The sequence below is a fragment of the Homo sapiens genome, chromosome 15, assembly GCF_000001405.40.
Source record: "Homo sapiens chromosome 15, GRCh38.p14 Primary Assembly".
NCBI classification, from domain to species: Eukaryota; Metazoa; Chordata; class Mammalia; order Primates; family Hominidae; genus Homo; species Homo sapiens.
Genome location: NC_000015.10, coordinates 67,790,580 through 67,815,428, shown reverse-complemented (window position 1 = coordinate 67,815,428; position 24,849 = coordinate 67,790,580). Strand labels below are relative to the sequence as shown.

General features: G+C 49.4%; 1 protein-coding gene across 3 annotated transcripts in view, besides 3 other annotated features; it reads right to left on the bottom strand.

The window, feature by feature from the left end:
• Positions 8,315-24,849, bottom strand: part of MAP2K5 (mitogen-activated protein kinase kinase 5) — a 264,412-nt gene continuing 247,877 nt past the window's right edge. For all 3 annotated transcript variants that reach the window (NM_145160.3, NM_002757.4, NM_001206804.2), the window contains one exon: positions 8,315-8,783. In NM_145160.3, the coding sequence (NP_660143.1) occupies positions 8,679-8,783 (105 nt within the window). In that variant the 3' untranslated portion in view covers positions 8,315-8,678. The remainder of the gene's footprint in view (positions 8,784-24,849) is intronic.
• Positions 9,922-10,782: an enhancer, noted in NCBI's record as "OCT4-NANOG-H3K27ac-H3K4me1 hESC enhancer chr15:68096985-68097845 (GRCh37/hg19 assembly coordinates)". NCBI's record gives its function as "activates a minimal SCP1, AML or CMV promoter by ChIP-STARR-seq in naive H9 embryonic stem cells {active_cell/tissue: H9 hESC(naive)}" and the evidence as "EXISTENCE:reporter gene assay evidence [ECO:0000049][PMID:30033119]".
• Positions 10,783-11,645: an enhancer, noted in NCBI's record as "OCT4-NANOG-H3K4me1 hESC enhancer chr15:68096122-68096984 (GRCh37/hg19 assembly coordinates)". NCBI's record gives its function as "activates a minimal SCP1, AML or CMV promoter by ChIP-STARR-seq in naive and primed H9 embryonic stem cells {active_cell/tissue: H9 hESC(naive and primed)}" and the evidence as "EXISTENCE:reporter gene assay evidence [ECO:0000049][PMID:30033119]".
• Positions 23,706-24,575: an enhancer, noted in NCBI's record as "OCT4-NANOG hESC enhancer chr15:68083192-68084061 (GRCh37/hg19 assembly coordinates)". NCBI's record gives its function as "activates a minimal SCP1, AML or CMV promoter by ChIP-STARR-seq in naive H9 embryonic stem cells {active_cell/tissue: H9 hESC(naive)}" and the evidence as "EXISTENCE:reporter gene assay evidence [ECO:0000049][PMID:30033119]".

Here is a 24,849-nt window from a genome sequence, read left to right as displayed (position 1 = left end):
CTGAGAAAGCTGAGGTTCAGAGAGGTGAAGTGATTTGCCCAAAGCCACACAGCCAGGAAGTAGTAGCCCTAAGACTCAAATCCAGACCTGCCTGAAGTGCAAGTTGTTTCTTCAGCAACAGCTGCCTCCCTGTAAGATGCAGGCTGTGTTCTCCTAGGACTCTCACTCCAGTAAGGGGGACAGAACACCTCCTCGCAGTCACTCCACCCAGGCTGGTGTGCAGCAGTGGCACATGCCCCATGAATCTCATGCATCAAAATGCAGAGGGCGAAGTGAATCACCACTGGGTGGGGGAGGAGGAAGGGTAGAAGCCTCAACAATATTTGCTGGAGAATGTTGGTCCCCGAGCATCACCGTGAGCTGCCACTGCATCACAGACGAAGGAGGCCCCATTTCTCCTGAGGAAGGAATATTTAAGAAGTGGGGAGTCACTAGGACTTCAGTGGTTGTATGCGGGTCTGTGTGTATGTGGGGCAGCAGTGCCTGGTGGGAGGAAGGGGCCAGAAACCAGCCCTTTAGAAGTGTTTTGTGCTTAGCACGGTCAGTAGCAGGGATGATTTAATAATGACATCGACAACATCCACTACTATAATTACCCCACTCTGCCACTGAGGAAACTGAGGCTCAGAGAGGTTAGGCATCTTGCCTAGGGTCACACAGTGAGTCAATGGAGGACCCAAGACTTGAACCCAGGTCTGTGTAACTCCAAGCCCATGCCCTTCATAGCTACATTCTTTTTTTTTTTTTTTCCTCTTTTTTTTTTTTTTTTGAGACAGAGTTTCACTCTTGTTGCCCAGGCTGGAATGCAATGGCATGATCTTGGCTCACCACAACCTCTGCCTCCCAGGTTTGAGTGATTCTCCTGCCTCAGCCTCCCGAGCAGCTGGGATTACAGGCATAAACCACCACGCCTGGCTAATTTTGTATTTTTAGTAGAGACAGGGTTTCTCCATGTTGGTCAGGCTGGTCTCGAACTCCCGACCTCAGGTGATCCGCCTGCCTTGGCCTCCCAAAGTGCTGGCATTACAAGCGTGAGCCACCGCACCCAGCCTTCATAGCTACACTCTTCTGCCTCCCCCACAGGATTGCCAAAAAGGACCGAGGAGGCCGTGGGGTAGAAAAGAGGGGTTCCATTTGGGTATTAGGAGACTTGCATTGAATCCCGCCTCTCCCACTGCCTTGCTGGGACTCTTACCAAGAGATTTAACATTTTCTAAAACAAATTATTATTATTACAAAATAATATATGTTTACTGAGTTACATTTGAAAAATACAGAGTAATAGAAAGTGAAAGAGCAGCCACAATCTCATCAGATGTTTTTATAAACATCTTCTTCCCAGCTGGGTGCAATGGCTCACGCCTGTAATTCCAGCACTTTGAGAGGCTCAAGTGAGAGGATTGCTTGAGGCCAGGGGTTTGAGACCAACCTGGACAACACAGTGAGCCCTCATCTCTACAAAAACTTTAAAAATAAGCCATGCATGGTGGTGCATGCCTGTAGTCCCAGCTACTTGGGAGGCTGAAGGGGAAAGATCACTTGAGCTCAGGAGGCTGAGGCTGCAGTGAGCCGAGATCGCGCCACTGCACTCAGCATGTGTGACAGAGTGAGGCCCCATCTCAAACAAATAAGTAAGTAAATAACTTGTACCTAGATGGCTGGAGGCAGGCAGGGGCAGGTCCCTGAAGTTTCCTGAAGCCCCTCCCACCCTGCCTTCCCCTTCATTTATTTAACCACTGTTTCTCGAGCGTCTCCTGAATGCCAGGCCCTGAGCCAGCTCCTGCCTTCCTGGGGCTCTCACTGAGGTGAGGCAGATAGATGATGTAAGAAAACACAGAAGGACAATATAGAGAAGTCAGGCAGCGACAGAGGAGCTCCAGGGAGACAGTAGCCTGTGGGCTGGGCTCCTGTGGGTGGGCCAGATCAGGTTGGGTATTGGAAAAGGCCTCCCCATAGGAATTGCATTTCAGCTGAATCTTGGAGGATGAACAGAAATTAGGCAGGAGGCAGAGGACAGGAGGAAGGTGTCCCAGGCTGAGGGAACAGCCTATGCTATGGCTCAGAGGCTCAGAGGCAGAGAGGGCTCTGGACATTCAGGCAGCAGAGCGTCACCCCCTGTGATGGGAACAGGGACTGGAAGACAGAGAGGTGGGGATGACCCTGCTGCCTGCTGCCCTTGCAGGGGAGCTGGGAGACCAATGAGACCAGTGTGAAGGCAGTTTGCCACGTGCAACTCATATTACAAGACAAATAGGATTTCTTTTCTATCTCAAAACTTTATTCCCATACTTCTGCCCTCATTATTGCTCCCAGTGTTTGCCCTGTTGCTCTCCCTACAACCCCTCTTCCCCAAAGCGGGACGAAAAGATAAAAAGAGCAAATTCCTGGGAAGGACCAGCAGCACAGTTTGACTGGATGCTTTTAACTAAGTCTGCAGGCAGGAGAGACTTTTTATCCCTTGCAAGTTAATGCAAACTGTTAGGGAGATAAATAAATGACAGAGCTGCCGACGGACTGTTGGGCTTATAGGAGGGACATTTGTCTCACTTTAGAAGAAGGACCTGGAGGGCTCAGCCCCATCGACTCGTTCATTGTGCTGTTATCTGCCAGAGAGGTGGTGACACCACAGCAATTAAGACAAACTTGAGTCTATAAGTTCGCGCCTGCAATCTCGTGGCTTCAAAACAAGACAAATGATACCGCCAAGGGAGGAAACAAAGTCTTTTTCAGACTCTGTCCAAAGTCACAGCGAATATTTGTGGTTGTTCAGCAGAAAATTTGTCATTATGAGGTCTGGGCTCTGCTGCCTCCCTGCCCCGCATAATAATCCACTCCTGTGGCTCGTGCCAGCCCAGGCTGTCTCAGGGGCTCCACCCACTGCCAGCTACAGCCCGCCCTGCCTGCCCACTAGTTGAAGAGCATCTCTGGTGGGTCGAGGATGTGATTTCTGCCAAGGCGGAAAGGAGTCATGACAAAGCCGGCAAGCGCCACGGCAGCCTTGCTCTGCCATGGAAGCCACTGACCTCGTCCCACTTCCTATATGAGCAGCCAGCACCCACCAAGGACCAGGCTCAGGGCAGACATCCTGAGCGGTTTACTGCTTCCCCTGGCCTGGCTCCCCCTGCAGACCTCTTTGCTCCTCCTCCCTATTCCTGACCCCACATCACCACGCCTATTGCCTTTGCCACAGCACCTTGGAGCTGATGCCAGCCTCAGCCTCCTCCTTTGGCCTCTCACCTGCGCTTTGATTGAACTGCTTCCTCCGGCCTCATGAAGTGAAAACACCCGATCCCCCAAAGTAGGAGCTGGGACCCGGTCCAGGTGCAGTCCTGGGGGTCCACCTGGCCCCAGGAATGGAGTTGGGCTGCTGTGAGCCATTGGTGCAGCTCCCCTCTCCACGCCCTTCTGCCCACCTGCTGGGCACTACCTCCCTCCCTCACCCTGGGACTTGGGGCCGTCTTTCCCTCCCCCCATCCTCCCTCTATGCCCCTCTTTCTCATGGACATTTCTGTGACTGAGAACACGGTTCCCATTCTGGTTTTCCTTTTTTTTTTTTTTGAGACAGGGTCTCACTCTGTCGCCCATGCTGCATTGCAGTGGCGCGATCACAGCTCACTGCACCCTCCCCCTCCCAGGCTCAGGTGATCCTCCCACCCCAGCCTCCTGAGTAGCTGGGACTACAGGCATGTGCCACCACGCCTGGCTAATTTTTGTAGAGACAGGGTTTTGCCATGTTGCCCAGGCTGGCCTCAAACTCCTGAGCTCAAGTGATCTGCCTGCCCCAGCCTCCCGAAGTGCTGGGATTACAGATGAGAGCCACAGTGCCCGGCCAGGCTCCCATTCTAATAGGGGCCAGACTTAGCTAAAGGCTGAAGCTCCAAGGGGGAGTTTGGGCAGCAGTCAGGGGGACAGAAGGTATCTTTGAGGTGGCATCATGGCCCTCTCTGGGCTCCATCCCATGTGGAAGCCGCTGTCCAGTCCCTTCTGAACCACCCTGTGGGGCCCCAGGGGCTGCCAGCCTGCAGACCCAGCATCATCCCGAGGCTTCACCTGGAGGTTCCACTGGCCTGAGTGTGCAGACACCTGGAAGCATATGCCTCCCCAAAGATGCAGGTCTGTTCAGGCAGGGCACCCGCAGCTTCCCTCAGTGAGGCTGTACCATCCATTTCACCTCACTGGCCTGACCAACCCCCTAACTGGGCTGGGCCTTGGGTAGGGGCTCTGGGTCACACTACTTTGGACCACAAGGTCCCCGCCACATCTGGAGAAGAGGGTTCCACCTCTCCTTCCTCTGCCCCAGTGGACCTGTTGGAACATCTCCAAAGCCCTGGGATTCTGTATCCTGCATTCCCCACATGTGAAAACCAAAGACAGAAGCAAGGACGATGGGCTGAGTGTGAGAGGGCCTCCTGGCCTTCAAGCCAGAGACCTAGAAGCAGAGGAGGCACCTGCCTGTCATTGTGAACTGGGGCCCCGTGAGGATCCTCCTGTCCTGGAAACACTTCCTTCTAGGCTCCCCTGAAGGTCTGAGAGGCCTGAGGCTGCCTCCAGTGAGGGTTTCGTCTCTCAGAAGCTCCAGTTAGAAAGTGAGTGGGCGATATTGAGGATTGGAGCAAGAGATTCGAGCAGGACAGTGACAGGCCCCAAGGGCCTCAGGTCTGAGGGCCCCATCTCTGCACCCTACCTTCCCTCCCTCCTACCGTCCCACACCACAGGCACCCTCCCTATGCAGGCCCTGGGCCAGGTGCTGGGATAGAGGTGAGTTAGCCTCATCCCTGCCCTCAAAGGGCTCACAGTCTATATCCAGAGAAGGAAATAAAGAAGCTGCCAGCTAGGCGTGGTGGCTCACGACTGTAATCCCAGCACTTTGGGAGGCTGAGGCAGGCAGATCACTTGAGGTCAGGTGTTCAAGACCAGCCTGACCAACATGGTGAAACCCCATCTCTACTAAAAATACACAAATTAGCCGGGCATGGTGGTGCATGCCTGTAATCCCAGCTACTCGGGAGGCTGAGGGAGAAGAATCGCTTGAACCTGGGAGGCAGAGGTTGTGAGCTGAGAGTGCACCATTGCACTCCAGCCTGGACAACAAGAGCGAAACTCTGTCTCAAAAAAAAAAAAAAAAAAAAAAAAAGGCAGCAAAGAGGAGGTGCTGTTTGAGAGGGGCCTGAAAGGAAGAATAGGAATTAGCCACATGGATGGGGTGAGGGTGGGCGGGGGTGGCTTTCCAGCAGGGAAAGAGCTCATGCTGCCTAGGCCAGTCTCAGGCACTGCAGTGTTCTAGGTCTTAGCCTTCCCGCGACCTCTGAGGGCAGGGGCAGCTTGGCCTCTGGCCCCCAACGGTGACTAGAGGAATCACTTCAACAGGCCAAAGAGGGACCTGCCTCCGGCCAGAGGGGTGTTAGCAGGAGAACCCCTCAGGGGTCACTCAGCTCCCCATCTTCTCGACTTCAAGGCAGAGGGGAATTTATAGTTGGGGGCTGCCCCAAAGTAGGGGCCCTTGACAGGGGGTCATGAGTGAGTGAGCTCCAGGGTCTCCACAAACCCTAGAGTTGTGAACAAAATTCTGTGCGTGCATGCATGTGGGTGATGTAATTTGGGGGCAAGGATGCTCACAGGATGAACCCAAATGGTGAGAACTCTGCTCTGGGACATCAGGACTGGGAGCAGCTCCAGGACACCGTGAGGTCAACCCCTACATTGACAGATGAGGAAACAGACTCAGACAGGAGACGTGCTTTGTTCAAGATCACCCTGAAAGTTGGTCTCCAGGCCAAAGCATGCGTCTGGAGCAGTGTTTCTCAGTGCTGTTGTGGGGCGCTCTGCACCTGTATCCCTGGGGAGCTGGTCAAAGAGATCCTTGGCCCGTTCCCAAAGGTACTAACATTATCTTGGCAAACCAGAGTTTGGGAGCCTCTGTGCTAGAGGACAGGGCATGTGTCTGTGTGTACATATGTGCACATGTGTGCTGTGTGTGTGGAGTTGACTATCAGAGCTGTGGCTAAGAGCAGGGCTCTGGGTCCCAAACAGTGCTTTGCTACTTGTTGGGTGACCTTGGGTAAGTCATCTGGCCTCTCTGTGTTTCAGTTTCTTCATCTGTAAAACGGGCAGAATAATCGTATCACCATCTACCTCCTGGGATCATGGTGGGGATTAAACGAATTGATACAGTGAGCCCTAAGCACACTGCCCAGCAAGGTACCTGCTCACTTTTCCTACCGCCCTTGACTTGGGATTTGGGGCTGACAGGTTTGCTGGATGAATCTTCTCAAAATAAGGATACGCTTTAGTCTGGGTGGTGGCTGATTCACATTCCAAGGTAGTCAGCCCCGTGTGGGAGCCCCTAAGCTTTCCCCACTCTCTGAGCGCCTCTTCCTGAGAAAGTCCATCATGTGCACTGCCCGCAGTTCTCCCTGCCCTGAGCACTGGGCCAGGGTCTTCCTGGCCGGGGTCCCATCCAATTCTGTGACCATCTAACCCCAGGGAAATGGCAGGTGCTCAGAGAAAGCTGGGAGCCTGTGCCTTGAAAAGCATTACTAAAAAGATGATGAGCCGACTCTGCCCTGGGAAGCACATGATGCCTCACATAGGGTGCCCTTCCATGGGGCACTGGACTGCACATGGGCTGGGAGTCACAGCTCCACAATTTTGGCCATTTGACCCACACACATTTATTGTGCAGAGCTGAGGCCTTGTTCTTTGTACTGGGGATACAGTGTGAAAAAGACTAGAATTTCTGCCCTTGTGGAGACCCCATTCTAATGAAGGGCAGAAGAGGAAGGAGACAGAAGAGAAAATAAGTAAAATTAGTGATGTATCACACAGTTCTGAATGCAGTAGAGGAAAATGGTGCAAGCAATGGGCACAGGCGGCCCCAGGGCAGGTGCGGGAGGGGTGCGATTTTAGAGTGGTTAAGTAGGTTTCACTGAGATGCCATTTGAGCTGAGACCTGAAGGGTATAGAGGTGAGCCATGTGGATGCATGAGGGAAGCATGCTCCAGGTACCAAATGCAAAGGCCTACATTAGCTGGCATAATACTAGCTGCTAGTAACATATAAAACCCCATCAAAATAATTGATCCCTAGCTCACTATTTTTATTTATTTTTGAGACAGGGTCTCACTGTCATTCAGGCTGGAGTGCGGTGGTGCCATCACGGCTCATTTAGCCTCAACCTCCCGAGCTCAAGAGATCCTCCCACCTCAGCCTCTCAAGTAGCTGGGACCACAGGCATGCACCACCACACCCTGCTAATTTTTTAAGTTTTGTTAGAGACAGGGTCTCACTATGTTGGCTAAGGCTGGTCTTGAACTCGGGCTGAAGCAATCCTCCCCCCTCGACCTCCCAAAGTGTTGGGGTTACAGGCGAGAGCCATTGTGCCTGGCTCCAAACTCACCCTTTATAATAGCACCAATCCCACCCATGAGATGGAAGCCCAGCTGGGCAGTGGCTCCCTAGCAACGCGGTACCCTGTGGAGGGAGTGTGAACCTTCCATGGCTAGACGTCTCTGCTGTGACCCTGGGTGGTTATGTGCCCGGATGTTCAAGGAGCAGCAAGAAGACCAACTGGCTGGAGTCAAGAGAGAATTTTGGGTGATGGAACCAATATTCTTTGAAGGCAAAGACAGCAGGACTGGATGTGGGTGTGAAAAGGGAGTCAAAGCCATGTCCTGGCATTTTAGGGAGTGCCAAATGGCTTGGGCACTGGGAGGATGGAGATGCCATTTACTGACACAGGAAAGCAGTAGGAGGAGGTCTGGGTGGGGTGGGGGATTAGGAATTTGCTTCTGGACGTGTTGAGATGCTATTCAGACCTTCAAGTGGAATCCTGAGCCCCTTGGAGCCTCAGCTCCTCACCTGCAAAATGGGGGTAGCCAGGCTTACCTGGCATGTGGCTGAGGGGATTTCCTGAGAGGTGAGAGGTGGCAGGTGTGGGGTCAAGGGCAGTGAGGAGCAGGGGTGGGGCTGGGGTGGAGAAGGGCCTCTCAGAACAGCCCACTCCCTCCTCAGCCACGCAGGTCAGGTGGATGTGTCTGGCAGTCCAGTAAGGAGCTCATGGCGGGGGCCTGAGATCCGGGCCTACTCCTTGCCATGGGACCCATCCCAATGCCTCCGTGCTTCTGTTTCTCATCTGACAGTGGAGCTGGGCTGTGGGCCTCAGCACAACTGCGAGGAGCTAGCAGGAGGCTTGCAGGTGCCTGGGCAGGCAGCAGGCACTGTCACACACATCCCTGCTGAAGTGGAGATCCCACCTGCCCCCAGCCCTGGGGGGGGTCACAGACCCCCTGGACCACACAACTCTTATGGCAGAGGCTGTCACAAAGCATTAATACTTTTATTCCCATCAGTGATGCTGACGGGCCTGACCCTTTATAGAGAAAAACATTAGGAAAACAGAAGTGGGCAGGGACCCTGGGAGCCTCCATTCTCAATGCCCCACCCTTTACCTCTCTGCCAGTGTCAGCGCCTTCAAACCAGAAGGTATGGGGATGGCCTGGTGGGGTGGGCCACACATGGGGCTCCCCAGGCAAGGCCACCTGCTGACAGAGGTGAAGGCGAGGGCAGGGAAGCCAGGGCCCAGCAAAGCTCTTCTGGCGCAGGCAGCATACGGAGAAGGGCGACGGGTGGGTTGTTCTCCTTGGTTACTGGTCCTGGGCTTTCAGTGCCCTGCGGCAGCCTCACGGGGGCCCCTGCTGGCTCCGCCTCTCCTCCAGCGCCCGGCACACCCACATGGACACCACGGCGGCATTTCCATCATTGAACTGCACGATGAACGGGTGGCCCTGCGGGGAAGAGGAGGAGGCTGTGACAGGCAGTCCTCGGACTCCCGCGCTCATTGTACTTTCCAGGGCCTGCCCTCAGCCTGGATCTGATCTCTTTCCCCAGTAACCCTGTGAGGTAACGAGGGAGGCTATCAGCTCCATTTCACGGCCTAGATAATTGAGGCCCAGGGACGAGCAGTGACATACTGGTAGTCAGCACCAAGCGTGTGGAGTGCTGGCTGGCACATCTCAGACTCTGCCACCTCTTCCTGAGGCTCGCACTAGCCTGGAAGGTGCTTAAGGGCGAGGGCCTGTCTTCGCTGCACACTCTGCCTGGCCCTTCCTCTGCCCGGCATCACTCGCACGGCCAGTCAGCCGAGGCCTGGCACTGTGTTGCCAGCTTTCCGGTTCAGTTGGTGCCCAGAGACCAAAGAATCATCTCGTCAGAGGCTATGTCAATCCCTTTTAGCTTTCTCCTTTGTCTACAGCTCTCCTATAAAAAGAAGTCACCACCTGCAATTGGAGGGAAGGCAAACATGTCAGGGGAAGTGGGGAGGGGGAGGAATGTGCTGGGCTGTGCACAGGATCTCTGGGTTCCTGGTGAGAAGTTCCATTGGGGGCTGGACTCTGGAGGGGCCGGCCCTGTTGCCCTGTGGCCTGCCTCTGGTTCTAACCCACTTATCACACAGGCAGACCAGATTCTATTTAGCCAGTTCTCTTCTCTGCTGTCCTGAAGCACCAAGATTTACATCCACAATCTTAGGGCCTCCTGGGAATTCCCAGGGAAGGTCAGAAAAAAGCAGGGACAACCCCAGGGTTACCAGGCCACAGTCAGAGGTGAAAGGAAAAGTGAAAAGCCTTCTTTTTCTTCCTCTTCACCAAGTGGCTTCTTGCCCAGGAACTTACACCAAGTGGCTTCCTCTCCTACCCAAAACTGTGCAGCTTGCATGGTGAGACTCGGGGAGCCATAGCGAGGACAGAGAATGGGGGAGATGAGGGCGCCATGTGCCTGCCCCCAGCTCTTCTCCCTCCCTGTCCAGCGGCCGCTTCCTCGCTCCCCCCAGCTCTCTCCTCCCTCCAGCTTCCTCAGCCCCTCTTGGGCCTGTCCTCCACCTGCACAGGCTGGGCTTTCAGGGTTGCTTTCCCAGCACACCCCAGCCTTGACTGCAGCCCTAGAGAGGCTGCTTAAAGAGCCGCATGGCCTCGCCACGAGCTCATCACAAAGCCAGGAGGGATGTGGACCCTGGCTGTCCCAACCTCAGCGCCTGCAGGGGCTGTCAAGGACCAGGCCTGGGTAGAGCAGGGGACGGCATGGCCCCTCTGGACCACAGGTCAGAACTGTGGGGGACAGGAGAATGCTCAGGCCGCCTCATCCTAGGCTGATGCAGTGCCCGCCCCCAACCTTCTCATTCGAGGTTGGGAAACCTGCCCTGGGGACACCCTGCGTGGGTCTATCTCAGAGGCACACAGAGCACTGTCAGAGCTGCGAGGAGGAGGAGGAAACTCGGCTTCGAAGATGCCAAGGCACTCAACCCCGGGCAGGGACCCGCTGAGACTGGGGTGGAGCTAGGCCTGGAGCCCAGCTGGGTACTTCCCATAATCTGCTCATAGCACTCTGGGAGGCTCCTGACACACCTGCAGGACCCCTAAGGGCACAGGGGCCATGGAGGCCAGGCTGGGTGTGGCCCTGTGGATGGCAGAGGTTTGGTCTGGGGCCTGAGCAGGAGAGGCCCAGGAAGGACTGGATTTTGGCTTCCAAGTGTTCTCCTCCCCATATATATGCCCACCCCACGGCTGCTTTCCCAAATCGCTGCCTAGACAGAGGAAATCCTTCCCAAAGTCCAAGCGTGCACACTTCCTCTCAGGAGGCTCAGGAGGGGCGACCTCGTGCCCTTCTAAAGAACAAAGGGAGAAGCTGTGCTCACGAGTGACGGGCCCCTCCCCCCACGCCCGGGGTAACACAGTGTCACTTTCCCAGAATGCCGGGTGACTTTGGGGCCCATATGCTCCATCTCTGTTATCATCTGTTCTGGAACAAGCAGAGCGGAACTGCAGGAGGGAGCGTAGAGGCGTTCCTCCACATTCCAGAAGGGCGGATGGCCGCACTGCAGGGAGGCAGTTTGCCCAAGTGCCCCGGTAGGCGAGGGGAGAGGGCTGCTCAGCTGCAGCCATACTCAGCTCCGGTGGAGATGCCGGCCTCTCCTGCCCTCCTCAGCTGGGAGGTGACCTCGTCTCCTGCTGCTGCTGAGGCATGTTGTATCCCCGATACTTTACCCCACCTGCAAGGGAAGCGACCTGGACCCACTGCCTTTGTCCCAAGCCACTGTTGATTGGTTTAGGGTGGTTGCCTGACAGGGAGAATCACAGGGGACAGACATGGAGGGGACCCAGCGTCCTAGGCTGTGCACTGTGGACTTGGTAGCTGCTGGCAGCTGTTCACCACCATTTGACTGGACACAACAGAGAAAGCCAGTGTGTAGGACCCGAGAGCAGGAGGTGCTGTCCAGAGGCAGGCAGGCGGGGGGTCGTGACGGCACTGGAGACCCTGGGGCCATTACACCCAGAGCCTGGCAGCGTCTCTGCCTGCAGGGTCCACACGGTCACAGGATCCTGTGAGGCACCTCACAGGCTGGGGCTGGTTTCTGTTATTTGCAGCCAAAGAAGTGTTAACTCACACAGGTGGGCACAATCACCTCCACTTTACTGATGGAGGCTGCAGGGTCACAGCTGACCTGCCTGAGCTCCCAGACATGGGACTGAACCACAAGTCTGTAACCCAAACCCACTGCCCTGGGCTCTTCCTGGATAGAGGAGGGAGAATCAATATTCAGATTGCAATTCCCCCTCATCTTGTTTCTACCTTGGCGACTCAGGCCTGCCTAGCCAGAGGTGCAACCAGGGCTGCAGGCTGTAAGCCTAGACCATCCCAGGTCTTGACCTCTATCAGCACTGTCCCCTGGACACACTGGGAGAGTCACTGACTCCCCCTCCTCCCATCAGCCCTGCATGGGATTCAGGGAAAATACACCATGACCCCCATGTTAGAGGAGAGGACACTGAGGCCCAGGGAGGGAAGACAGGGGTTAGGAGCTGGCACTGAGCTCATGTCTCCTGGTTTCTATTCTGGAGTATTCTCGGGGCTGGCCTGGCTCCCCTGGGACCCTGGCAGGTGTGGCTCTCTCCTTCCTCCTAGACTGTAACTGACGCCCTTAACCCTGTGACATGCACAATGCAGGCATTCCTCATGAGTTTAGCAAGCAAACAAAATCTGATGGAGAATTTGGGAGGAAGCACAAAACTCACTTGGCCACCCAGAGGTGCCCGAGTTCCACACAGCCAGATGCCCTAGGCATCTTGGCAAGGCCAGACTCTTAAAGATGGATGGAGATAGCACACTGAATAATACCAAGTCCAGCTGGGAGGTGACCCCATCTCCTTCGTATTACTGATGAGGCACATTGTATCCGTGATGCTTTACACCACTCTGCAAGGGACTGACTTGGACAAGGAGTGCTGTGTGCTAGGCATTTGCCAAAGGTTTGTCCTGATGTGCCCACTGGCTCCCATGCTCACTGTGGCCCACACACAGCTATGCATCTCCATTGTGCTGAAGAGGAAACTGACACTCAGTGTGCAGAACTTGCCCAAGGGCAACCAACCAGGCAGTTGGGCTAGAACCAGAACATGGGTCTCCGACTCCAAACGCCTTGCTCTCCTGTGCCTGCAATCAGACAGCCAACCTCGAGGCTCCTTGCAGTCTCCAGCCCCTGCGGCTGGTCCCTCCCCTGGGCTTGGGTGAAATGTACATCCCTCCCAGGCAGAGGAATCCAGATGCAGGCAAGCTCTTGCAGCCCCATCAGGCTATAAGGAACAATGGAAGCGCGGCATGGTGCAGCTCCCTGGAACCCAGGCACCAATACAGATGCTTGTCAAGAGCATCTTCCACCCACGGTGACCGCCCCAGGCATCTAGGCCTCCGTCCTTCACGCGGAAAGCATGTTAGCACCATTTCTGCACAGCCATGTCTGTGGAACCTGGCAGTGCCAGGCTGGAGCTGCTGAAAGATCTTGCTGGCCTCATCACCAGGCAGTGAGAGCCACTCTCATTCCCTGGATTCTCTGAGGGCCAATTGCAACAATTAAACTGACGAGGGTTGAAGTTATTATAGTCCACAGACTTTGCCACAGAAGTTGGAGACACAATGAAGGGAAAAGAACAGGGCTGCCAGAGGCAGGATGACTCCAAAAGTGGGACACAGGGGAGAGTCGGGAGGTGCCGGCATCACCTGGGCAGACACCCTCACCAACAGGGCTGAGAAGCACAATGAGGGACATTGGTGAAAATATCATAGTCATGAAGATGAATTGTGGTTGCTCACCGCTCCCTCTCATGAAGATGAATTGTGGTTGCTCACCGCTCCCTCCTCCACCTGGGCTTTAGTCAGTGTGTCACTAGTTTGACTCTTTGCCTCTGTACTAACGTCCCTAATTCCTGGCCACATGTTCCACTGTGCTGAGATGCCTTCCTGATGGACTGACAGCAGGACACTCCCGGGCCCCTCCCACGTGGAGGCAGGGGGCAGGGCTTGGTGTGCTCATCTTGTGGGCAAGAATGGAGGCTCCGAGCCTGCCGCAGTGTGTGGGTGCTGCCTGAGGCCTGTGGGGCTGGACTTCCAGTCCAGTGCTCATTTAATGACACCTCGCTGTCTGCCCTTAGTTGGGCTTTGAGCTTCTTCTGAAATAGGAATGTACCTATTTGGGGTCCCCATACTTTCATCTCTTTCTATAACTTTCTAGAGAATATAATGCATTTGAATAATTTAATAACTTGCTGGTGTGGCTGCAGGGCCTGGTGCAATGCCTGCATGTGGTAGGCCCTCATGAAAAGGTGACTTCTATATTCTGTATGTATACATCTACTTACTGAGCACTTGCTGTGTACAGGCATTGGCTGAATGCCTTACATCTGACCACAGCTCTCCTGAACCCTCCCGGCACCCCCATTTTATAAAGGAAACTAAAGCTCTAGGAAGCTTGATATTATGTGGCAAGGTCATGGAGAAAGTGGCAGAGTTAGAGTTTAAACCCAGGACACTCTTCTACCATGGAAGACACCACACTGCCTGCCTACTGGTGGTGTCTCTCTGGGGAGATGGCTCCATAAGCTGTGGCTGCTCTAGACATTTGGTGGCTCTCTGGACCACAGGACTGCTCTGCCTCAGGGTGAGCACCAAGCACATCCTCTCCCACCAAGGATGCTGCATGGGATAGGAGGCCAAGGACTCATGAACCTGTTGAAGCAGTAAGCCTGGCCTAGTAAAGACTCCAACAAGCTGCTGTTGGGACAGGGCAGCCCTGTGATCAGGTGACTGCCCTGTAAATGGTGATTTGAGAGGCCGAAGGGACCTCCACATGCCAACCCACTGCCCATCCCTTTGCCTTTCATTGCTGGACCTGTGAGCCTTGCTTGAAGGCTCTATGCATCTCCCTTTAGGATTCCAGCCCGCTTGGCTGTGATAACACTTCTGTCCCTTCTCACACTAATGGAGTGTTAGGACTAGATGGGATCTCACAGTCCAGCGGAGCCATAGGGTGTGAGGTGCTTTGGGGGCTCTGCAGCGGTTTCAAATTCTGTTAAGAAAATTTTTAGCTACAGTTTTAAAAACGGATTTAAAAAAATAACATACACTCAACTATGGTCAAAGGGTTACACTGAATACTGGTGATCTGTTACCTTGTACTGTGGTGTTACTTTTTGCAGCTTTTAGAGTCCGCTTATTAGATCTGTGCATATTATTCAACTTCTTACATGGCAAGCATGGGCTAGGAGGGCTGCTGTGGTGCACTGGTCATTTGAAAAAAGACGTCCACTTAGGACGTACACATGCATGTGTAAAGCTGTGTGAGTGCACCAAAGCCCAGGTACACTGAGCCCCATCACGTACATCGGGGTGGGGGATACAGTGTGGTCCATGGCTCTGAGTTTCTGATGGTGTCAGTTCCCATAAGGTTTGAGTACCATTTGTCTGACCAATATATTTACCATAAACGATTCATATGAACAATTGGTCATTGCTGTCAGTGGCTAACTGTAAAATAAAACATTTCTGCTATTCCTTTGTTAAGCATCTACATTGGTTTGATGGATGCCTAAGTTGGGAAGGCAACTTAGGTGAGTGAGGATTTCCTTGACACTGTGCTGAGACAATATACAGAAATAAGCTGTGTGTAGGTATGAGATTGCCACTGGCCCTTGTGACCCTGGCTCTCAGAATTTTTTGTCCTTTAAGTCTCATGGATGACTTTAAAAAGAAGTGTCTACAATGGATACTAATACATTCATGCTAAAAAAAAACCCCACTTCTACATTAATATTGAAGTCTTGCATTAATTTTACATAATAAAACATGTTCCACTGTTAAAGTTTTAAAGCTACCAATCTAATCCCCGGAGAAAACTTCAGATTAGAGACGTTAAATAATTTATGGGAGGATGCACAGATTTCCACTGTCTGCTGAATTGCTGACAAGTGGCAGGATAGTGGGCAGCCTGATAATATTAATTACATGAGATAATAAATCATAACTATCCCTGGGGCCAACTCTTCCTTCCAGGCTGGGCGTGGCCAGGCTAATCAACAGGAATGGCCAGGGAAGGAGAGGACCTGATAAGTGACTCAGCAAGAGGAAGCCAAAGCATCACAATAACAATCCCCCCCACCGCCCCCCACTCTGCGTGGAGTGACAGCAAGGGCCCCTGGCTAAGAGTCGGTCAGCCCTCCCCTGGCCATCCCACTAGGGCCTCGCCTATAAAAGAGATAATACCAAAGAGTGGAGGGGGCCTCCCTTCTCCTGGCTTCATTCTATATGGAAGTACTGCTGCTGTTGTAACACTCCTGAGCCTTGTCCCCAGGGAGGGAGTGGCAACATTGGGTGGGTGGGCCCACTGGGCAGATCTGTCTGGCCTGCCATCTCATGCTGAGCCTCCAGGCAGGCTCTAAGCCTGCAGGAGGCCTGCAGTTGTTCACCTCTGCGTAGCAAGGCCACTGGGGCCACACTTGTAAATACATCCTCCAATCCAGATTTGTATAGAAGTAAAGCTGATACTTTCTCTCCATCATTTCTGGGTCTCATCTGTCAGCTGGTTTTGAACACAGGGCAGCTGTCTGCAGCTTCCTCACCCACACCAAATACCACCTGCTCTCTCTTCCTCCCGGAGTGGGTTGTAAGGACCAAATGAAGTCACCTGACCCTGGGGTGGTGCTTCACAGATATACTCTGGGCAGGTGAGGGTTATTCCTCCACACAGAGCACAGGTCCTGCACTTGAGGGCACAGGGGTGAGAGGAGGTGCTTGCACCAAAGATGTGGAGTCTTCCTGTCCACATAGCGAGCATACCTGGGCAAATGCCACGAATGCAGAGTTTTCCACACAAGGCATTTGTTCTGAGAACATGCTTTCTTGGCCTCTGATTTATTATTTTTATTATTTTTTTATTTTGAGACGGAGTCTCGCTCTGTCGCCCAGGCTGGAGGGCAGTGGCGCGATCTCGGCTCACTGCAACCTCCGCCTCCCAGGTTCAAGCAATTCTCCTGCCTCAGCCTCCTGAGTAGCTGGGATTACAGGTGTCCGCCACCATGCCCAGCTAATTTTTGTATTTTTAGTAGAGATGGGGTTTCACCGTGTTGGTCAGGCTGGTCTTGAACCCCTGACCTCGTGATGCACCTGCTTTGGCCTCCCAAAGTGCTGGGATTACAGGCGTGAGCCACCGTGCCCGGCTGTCTTGGCCTCTGATTTCTAAAGCTTTTCCATATTTGGGGGTGGGGGTTCCTTGCCAGCCCTTCATTTCCTTTTAAGACCTGGGAAGTGGTATGCAGCTGTGACATGTCATTTCAATCAACCTTCCTGAGTTTATTCTTCATAATTGCTATAGAAATAGATGTTTTTCCCCAAATATTCAATTATTAGCAGCAAATTGCTTACCTCTAGCCATCCTAGACAGTACGCAGGCACCTAAGGGGGTCAAGCAGCTCTCCACTTTTCATCTGAGCAGATCTATGTGTTTCTACACAGAGTAATAGGCCAGAAATGGACCACTGGGAGAAAAAAAATGTTTCCAGAGGTGTCTGTGAGTCATTCTAGGGCCTGTACTTACAGAGCAGCCGCAGGACCAGTGTTGTACGGTGTTGGATGGGGCACAGGATGACTCCAGTGGGCCATGGTGAGGTGGCTAGACACTTGGGGTGCCGACACTCATGAGTTTGTCGGAGGAAGCTGATCCTTGTGAATGGCAGAATTGTGCCACTGGCCTGTTTAAAGGGGGCTGTGGTGGCTGCTCTGGCAGGGGCCTTGGATAGGACTGGGCAGGCTGTACAGTGGGGGATATGCTGGCTGCCTCCGGCAGTTTTGGGCCACGCAGATGCCCAGAGGGATCAGGAGGGAGGATGCCAGAGGAGAATGGACATCTGCTCCAGATGATACTGAGGACTCACCCCTGAAAGGTGGAGTCTGCAGCATGTCCACACTGTGAATATGGGGCCAGTGACAAGTGTCTAGATATTCAAGGTTTGTCTCTGGGGGTGATTGATGGCTGTGTGGTGATGGAGGTTTAAAGACACAATGCTCAGAAGGATGGATTCTCCCTTGTCCTCTGCTTTCCTTACCTCTTGAGTAAGAAAACATTTTAGGCCGGGCATGGTGGCTCATGCCTGTAATCCCAGCACTTTGGGAGGCTGAAGCGGGTGGATCACCTGAGCTCAGGAGTTCGAGACCAGCCTGACCAATACGGTGAAACCCTGTCTCTACTAAAAATACAAAAATTATCCAGGTGTGGTGGCGCATGCCTGTAATCCTAGCTACTCCAGAGGCTGAGGCTGGAGAACTGCTTGAACCCAGGAGGCAGAGGTTGCAGTGAGCCGAGATCACGCCACTGCACTCCAGCCTGGGCCACAGGGTGAGACTCTGTCTCAAAAAAAAAGAACCAATGAAAGATGTGAATTCTCAAATTTAAAAAAAACCAGTGATTTCCAAGTAAAATAAATATAAAATCTATACCTAGAAAAACTATAGTGAAAATGCAAGCACCAAAGAGAAACACATGTTGCCTAGAAAGGGTAGCAATTTGGCAGTCAGGAGATTCTTACCACCAACAGTAGAAGTTAGAGGGCAACAGAATATCTCCAAGGTACTCAGGAGAAATTATCCACTTAAGCTTCTAAATCCAATTAAACTCACAATCAAGAGTTAGGGCAAAGGGAAGCCAATCCTAGAACAAAAACTCAGACTGTTTTACCATTCACAGACCATACTGACACAACTCTTGATGTACTTCAGAAAGGAAAAGAAACCTCCGAAGGAATACAATCACAATGAGGAGTAACTGGCAAGCATGTGGATAAATCTGAACAAGCAGTAACTATATATAAAGCCACAACTGCAGTAATGATTTTTAAGATCTAAAAACAAGGGGACAATGAAATTCTGGACTGTGATAACATGTAAGAAGGGAGTGATCAGAAACTCTAAAACCCTGAAGTCTGGGGGAAAAGGGGCTGCGGTAAGGACTGCTAGTTGCCCCCTGGTATCCATTCTCCCTTTCTTCATTGTGGTAAGAGTTCTGATTTTAGCAGGAAACACTGTCACCTAGCAGAGCAACAGCACTCCCAGCCTCCCTGGGGGTCAGTTTTGGCCAGCGCCATGTGAACAGACACAATGTGTGCCGGTTCCTAGAAATTCTGTCCTTAAAAGAAGAGGCAAGCATTTCCACACCCTTTCCTCCTTTCCTGCTGGCTGGAGCTTGAATGTCCCTTAAGCAGCTGCCAGATCAGTCTGGACACCCTACTTCCTGTCTGCTTTAACATGAGTGAGAAACACCCTCCTGTCTTGTTTAAGCTACTATTTGTTTTTTATTATATATAATTGAAGCTAACTTAGGGATAAGCAATTAGAGGCCAGAAACAGAATATGATTCCAAACCAATGTAAAACTAAATGTGAAGGAAAAAACCGGATATGTTAAATAGTTTGGATATTTGACCTCACTCAAATCACATGTTGAAATGTAATCACCAATGTTGGGGATGGGGCCTGGTAGGAGGTGACTGGAACAGGAGGTGGAGTTCTCAAGAAAGGAGTGAGTTCTCACAAGATCTGATCCTTTAAAAGTGTGTGGCACCTCCCCACTACCCACTGTCTCTCTTGCCTATATTTTTGCCATGTGATGTGCCAGCTCCCCTCTTGCCTTCTGCCATGATTTTAAACTTCCTGAGGCCTTATCAGAAGCTGAGCAGATGCCCTGAGCCATGCTTCCTGTACAGCCTGCAGAACTGTGAGCCAACTAAATCACTTTTCAGGTTACTCAGTCTCAGGTGTTTCTTTGTAGCAATGCAAGAATGGCCTAAAGAAACCTTACTGCAATACAATGGACAAAGAAGAAAAAAGAAATCAAAAAAGTAGAGAGAAAGTACAAAATAGGACTGTACAAAAAACTCAAGTATATCAACAAACAATAAATATAAATGATTAATCAATTAATAGAGCCTTAGTTAAAATTTAAAACATCAACAACAAAATGCAGAGATTCATGTAAAAGAGCACAGAAGTAAAGGATAATCAAACATAGCAAATACTAACCAAAAGAAGATGGCATAGCTATATTAATATCAACAAAAAATAAAATTTAAAGGAAAATATATTAGAGATAGAATCACCTCATAAAGACAAAAGAAATACTTTGAAATGAAGACACAATATTTTGACATATGCAACTTAACATTACTGCCTTAAAACATATAAAGCAAAAATGGACAGGAATGCAAGGAGAAACAGACACAGACACAATAGTAGTGGGAGATTTTAGCATACCTCTCTTAGAAATTGATAGATAATGCAGGTAGGAAATTAGTACAGCCACGAAATATTTGAGAAACACAATAAAGTTGATCTAAAGGATGTCTATAGGACATTGCATTCAACAATTAGAGAATATATACTTTTTTCAAGCAAAGAGAGAACACTGGGGGGAAAAACCAAATGACCATGTTCTAAGGGAGTCTAAACAAGTAACAAAGATCTGATGTTATACATAGCATGCTCTCTGACCACAGTGGATTAAAATTAGGTAATAACCACAAGATAACAAAACATCTTTCACTACTTGGAGATAAAAAATACTTCTAAATAATTTGGTGTAAAAAAGTCCTAATTGAAATTGAAAATTACTTAGAATTGAAGGACAATGAAAACACTGCATGTAAATACTTGTTGGATGCAGCTAAAGCAATATTAGCAGGCAAGTTCATAGCTTTATAGGCATATATTAGGAAAAAATATTGAAAATTTATGAGCTAAGTGTTTAATACATTATAAAAAGAACAAAAAGCATAGCTAAAGAAATCATAAGATGGCAAATAATAAAGAACATGAAGGAATTAAATAGAAAGATGTCATGAAGATGATCAAAATTGGTAAACAGAAAACAAGTAAATATCAAGAAGGGAAAAAAGATACATAACCACAAATCCAGTCAAAATTGAAAAATAAGGGCCTACCATATGAATGATATGAAGCCAACATTTGAAAAATGCTGAGAGTGACGACTCACAACAGCAGAAAGGGAGTGTGAGATGATGAGAAGTGGAGAAGTGATAATGGTGGTGGCTGGCAAGGTGCCAATGAGCACTGACAAAACATCACCCACCGCGGGGGCGTCAGAGGTTTCAGAGTCCTATCATCATAGTTTTAACTTTTCAAAGCATTTCATATCTATTGTCTCATCTTATTTCAAGAAGCAGCCAATTAAGTAAAGGCTGCTACCCCTTTAAAATCTTAGTAACAGTTTTTCTAGTTCCTTAACAGGGAGAAACAAACCATTTACACAAAGACTGAGCCAAAGTGGAAAATTTTTGCTGCTATCAAATCAACAAAAAATACAGAGGAAAAAATTGCTAGACACTGGACATCAAAACATCAAAACTTTGGGTAAATGTAAATAACGCTAAATGAAGTACCGTCTTTTTTTTTTTTTTTTTTTCAGCTGTGATGTTCCAGAGTTACCCGACCCTCAGTGGAATGGGCTGCTGAGGGTCAGGAGTGCAGGGAGCTGGCTGGGGAAAATTTGGAAGAAGAGCGTAACAAAGGTCAAAGTCATCAGACCTAGTCTAGTTTTCTACAGGATTGAAAATTACCAATTATTCTCAAGTTTCTGCTATTAGCGACCAATGTTTTCCATCTGAAACAGACCCCTCCTTTTTTAAAAAAGGAAATGCACAAAAAGGAAGCAAACTCTTCGAAAATTCTGATTGTTTTGCATCCCAGCAGCAAATAAAAATCATCAATAGAACTCACTCTTAGCCTTGAGCAATATTTTCTAAAACAAAACACAAAGAACCTGTGGTATTTAACTATTCTGTTATTGATTTACTGTGGTTTCCAAGGTAATGTTGAAGAAAATTAAATGTACAGAAGCCTGAAATGCGTTTTTGATGGTGGTGACTGGTGTGACCTGCATTTTCCAAGGTGGTGTCACTGGTCATGGGCAGAATGAATGACTGAGGGAGCACACTTTGGTTACAAATAAGCTGGCCACCTTCACTGCAGAGCCTCATGAAACCAAAGTCTATTTCCACTGTTAAGAAAGACAAGTTATTCAGTTGCAAGCTTCCTTCTAATGGTAGCTGTGTCTATTTTACCAAGGGTCTTTAATTCAATAAGATTCACTATGGATGTGTGGAGCGGTTTCTATGTGCCTAGATCTAAGTCTGGTTTTAGAACCTAAGGACTTTCCCTGGCACATTCATGACTCTTTGGTCCTCTCAGAAAATAAAACCTCAACAGTTTGAAGTCCACCTTAATTACTGATTCAAGATCAAAATAATCATATTGCTTCAAACTTGGACATTTATATACAACGTGATCAAAGAGTATATTTTCTATACAGTGAAATGGCCAGTTTCCAAATCTAGGGGCACTTTACAATCTATAGACCACTATACTTTGACACCCTTATCTCAGACTAAGAATATGGAAGTTAAACTAGAACTTGAACATTTTAATTTTAGGTAGTGCCTCAAGCTTTTCCTTAAGCCAGCTTTCTTGTATTTTAGACTTGATTCTAACAAGCTTAGTATCTGATTTCCCAATTAAAAGCACAAGAGAAACAGCCAAATAGAAGGAGAAGACGAAGGTGTGTTAAAGGGAGGAACAAGAACAGCAGCAAGAAATGACATCTACTAGCAAAACTATACAACAAAAACAAAAAACCAGCTTGGGGTCAACCAGCCTAGGGACAAATGGCCCTACTCGTGTCAATATCAGGAGATACTGGTATAGAACATGGCAAATAGACAATGTCCATAATAATGAGCTAAAGAATTTTTTGTTTTTTTTTAGAGATGAGGTCTCACAGTGTTGCCCTGACTGGAGCACAGTGGCTATTCACAAGCACAATCATTCCGCACTACACCTTTGAACTCCTGGGCTCAGATGATCCTGTTTCAGTTTCCCGAGTAGCTGGAAGTAAATTTAACTTTGTAAAAAATTAAATCCTGATGCATGTAATCTGTTTAAGAGGATAGAGCAGTGTTATAACACATTTAAGACCTCTTGCTTGTAATTTTTTAAAGTTTGATTTTATAAAGAATACACTACAGTTATCTGAATAATTTTCTTACATGGAGCAGCTCATCCACCTATGATGTTGCCATGTGAGTTTTAGAAAATCCATATTAAACACAATGAAGGCTCTCACTTTGCCCACTTTTCTGTAAAGTTTGCCATGAAGCACCATGTGATCTCACGGGGACAGACAAGCTTGCCGATCCTCTGAATTCATTAAAGACATACGGGGCCGCTTTGGGCCCAAGTTTACCTTGGCTTCTTTGCAGAGAGTTTGATTACTTTTAAGATTTATGGTCAAAGCGGGGGGCGGAAAAGAAATATCTCACAGAGCAGATTTACAACTTCATCTTGATTTTTAATACCATTAGGGATGACATCCAATGACATAATCTTGGAATGACTGCAGGGTGACTCAGAAACTCAGTGGGAAGTTTTATATTTTAGGGTCTGGAGCATTTTGTAGTTGCAAGGTCAGGTAGGAAAGGACCAGGGAAATGAGCCAGAGAGACGGTCAGAGAGTGAGTGTCAGCTGGTTTAATTTTCTGTGTCAACCCCGAAAATTAGATAAACAATGACAAACCAGGCTTTTTAAATGAACTTGTCACTTCTGGTTTTCTTGATACAGAGCAACATTTTTCAAGTCCTGGTAGCCCCAAAGACAGATTTAACCCCTGAGAGGTGTATCCAAGTGTTTCAAAGACCTCACATCTAAAAATAAAAGGTTTAGTCTAACCCTATACCCCTTAAGAGAAAAACTAATTATCCTTGAAATTTAAATACTCTTCTCATAACAATTAAGGGGACTTTGCCTAGAGCCAGAAGGTCCAGTCTTTTGCAGGAGGGTCTTAGCAACGTCCTAGTTTTTTTCTTTCCACCAGACCAACTCAACCCTTCAACACAGTTCCTTTGATCTTAACCTCCTTTTGCAAACCTGACCTCCCACCACTGTTCTAAGCAATACTGTCCACATTGAGCAGGTATTGGCTCTCTTCTCACCAATGCAGGTGAGCAGAGACCTGGCCCTGCCCCTCCTCTGCCTGGTGCTCTGTCGTTATGAAGAGGTAGGAGGTAAGAATTGCCCTGACTTTTATATGCTTTGTGCTATTTTAAGTCTTTGTTGCAGCCATGACATTCTCCCTGGTGGTGAGGGGAACAGATCAGTGAATCTTCCTAATAGCTGCTCCTACTGCCTTTGCTGTAAGGATATTTATTTAAAGACAACCCAGTTTGAATATGTTGATTTGGAGAGAGAAATGCTTATATTTACTGATACCAGCATTTGAGTAGTGGTTTTCATTCTACAACCGGCTTTCAAGCTCATTATCTTATTTCAGTGTCACAACAACCCCATAAAGCAGCTGGATGGCATTACTGTTACTTCCCTCAATTTGTGGATTTGGCCAAGGTAGAGCTGGGATTTGCACTGGATGTCAGCTCCCAAACCTGTGCCTTTTGTGATGATGTGCAATATAATAGCAGCCAGTTGTGAGCACTTACCCTGTGCCAGGTGCTCACTAGGTGCTTTCATTTACATTAGTTCATGTGATCTCCAAAAGCCCTATCAGAAAGTAAATGATAACCTATTTTATAAACAAGGACACTGCACTCTAAGATGGTAATGATGCCTGAGCCCAAGTTTCTTGAGGTTCTTGGCCTTCACAGGTCAGTCTTTCCCCACACTCCACAAGTGGTCAAAACAAGCCCCTGCATAACAAAGTCAGAGTCTGCCTTAGAGAAAATATGAAACAGGTGATTTGAAGCCCTTTGATCCTTCAGTCTTTGCCTCATCCCTCAACTCCAATGCCCCTTTTCCTGTTTAATGCAGAAGAGTCTCCTCTTCCAAAGCTTCAAAGTCATCTTATGCCAGCTAACTGCTGACATTAAGCCAATTCACAGGAAAGTATGAATAACTTAAGAAGGGCACTAGGGCCATGTGCATTTGAAAAGAAGATGCTTGGCTCCTGCCCAGCTGCAGCTCGGATGTCTCACAGGTGGACTATTCATGGCGTGAGGAGCTCTCTCTGGGTAGACAGGTAATAATTTACCTGTGGTTTCCAGGAGTCCTATGGATTTCATTCTCTACAACACAGCTTATTCCCCCTAGCTCTGACTCGTCTTCTGTAAAATATGGAGAACAGCATCAACCTCACAGGACAGTGTGTGTGAAATTCCCAGCCCAGAGGCAGTTCCATAGTCATAACTATCAGTGGCCTAAATTTTGCAGTACTTATCATACTCCTTTTCTAAGGAAACTTTTATAACACCTAACACATGTTCAGCACTAAGTGTGGCAGACATTAGGACACAGGTTTTTTTTTTTTTGTTTGTTTGTTTTTATGTGACTGGCTCTCCTGACAGCTGCAGTAGAGAATTAAAGGCTGCTCTCCACATCTTAAAGACCCTCACCACTCAGTAAGCAGCCCCTCCTCTGAGCCTCAGCCCTAAAGACCCAACTTGCTCCCCATTTAAAACA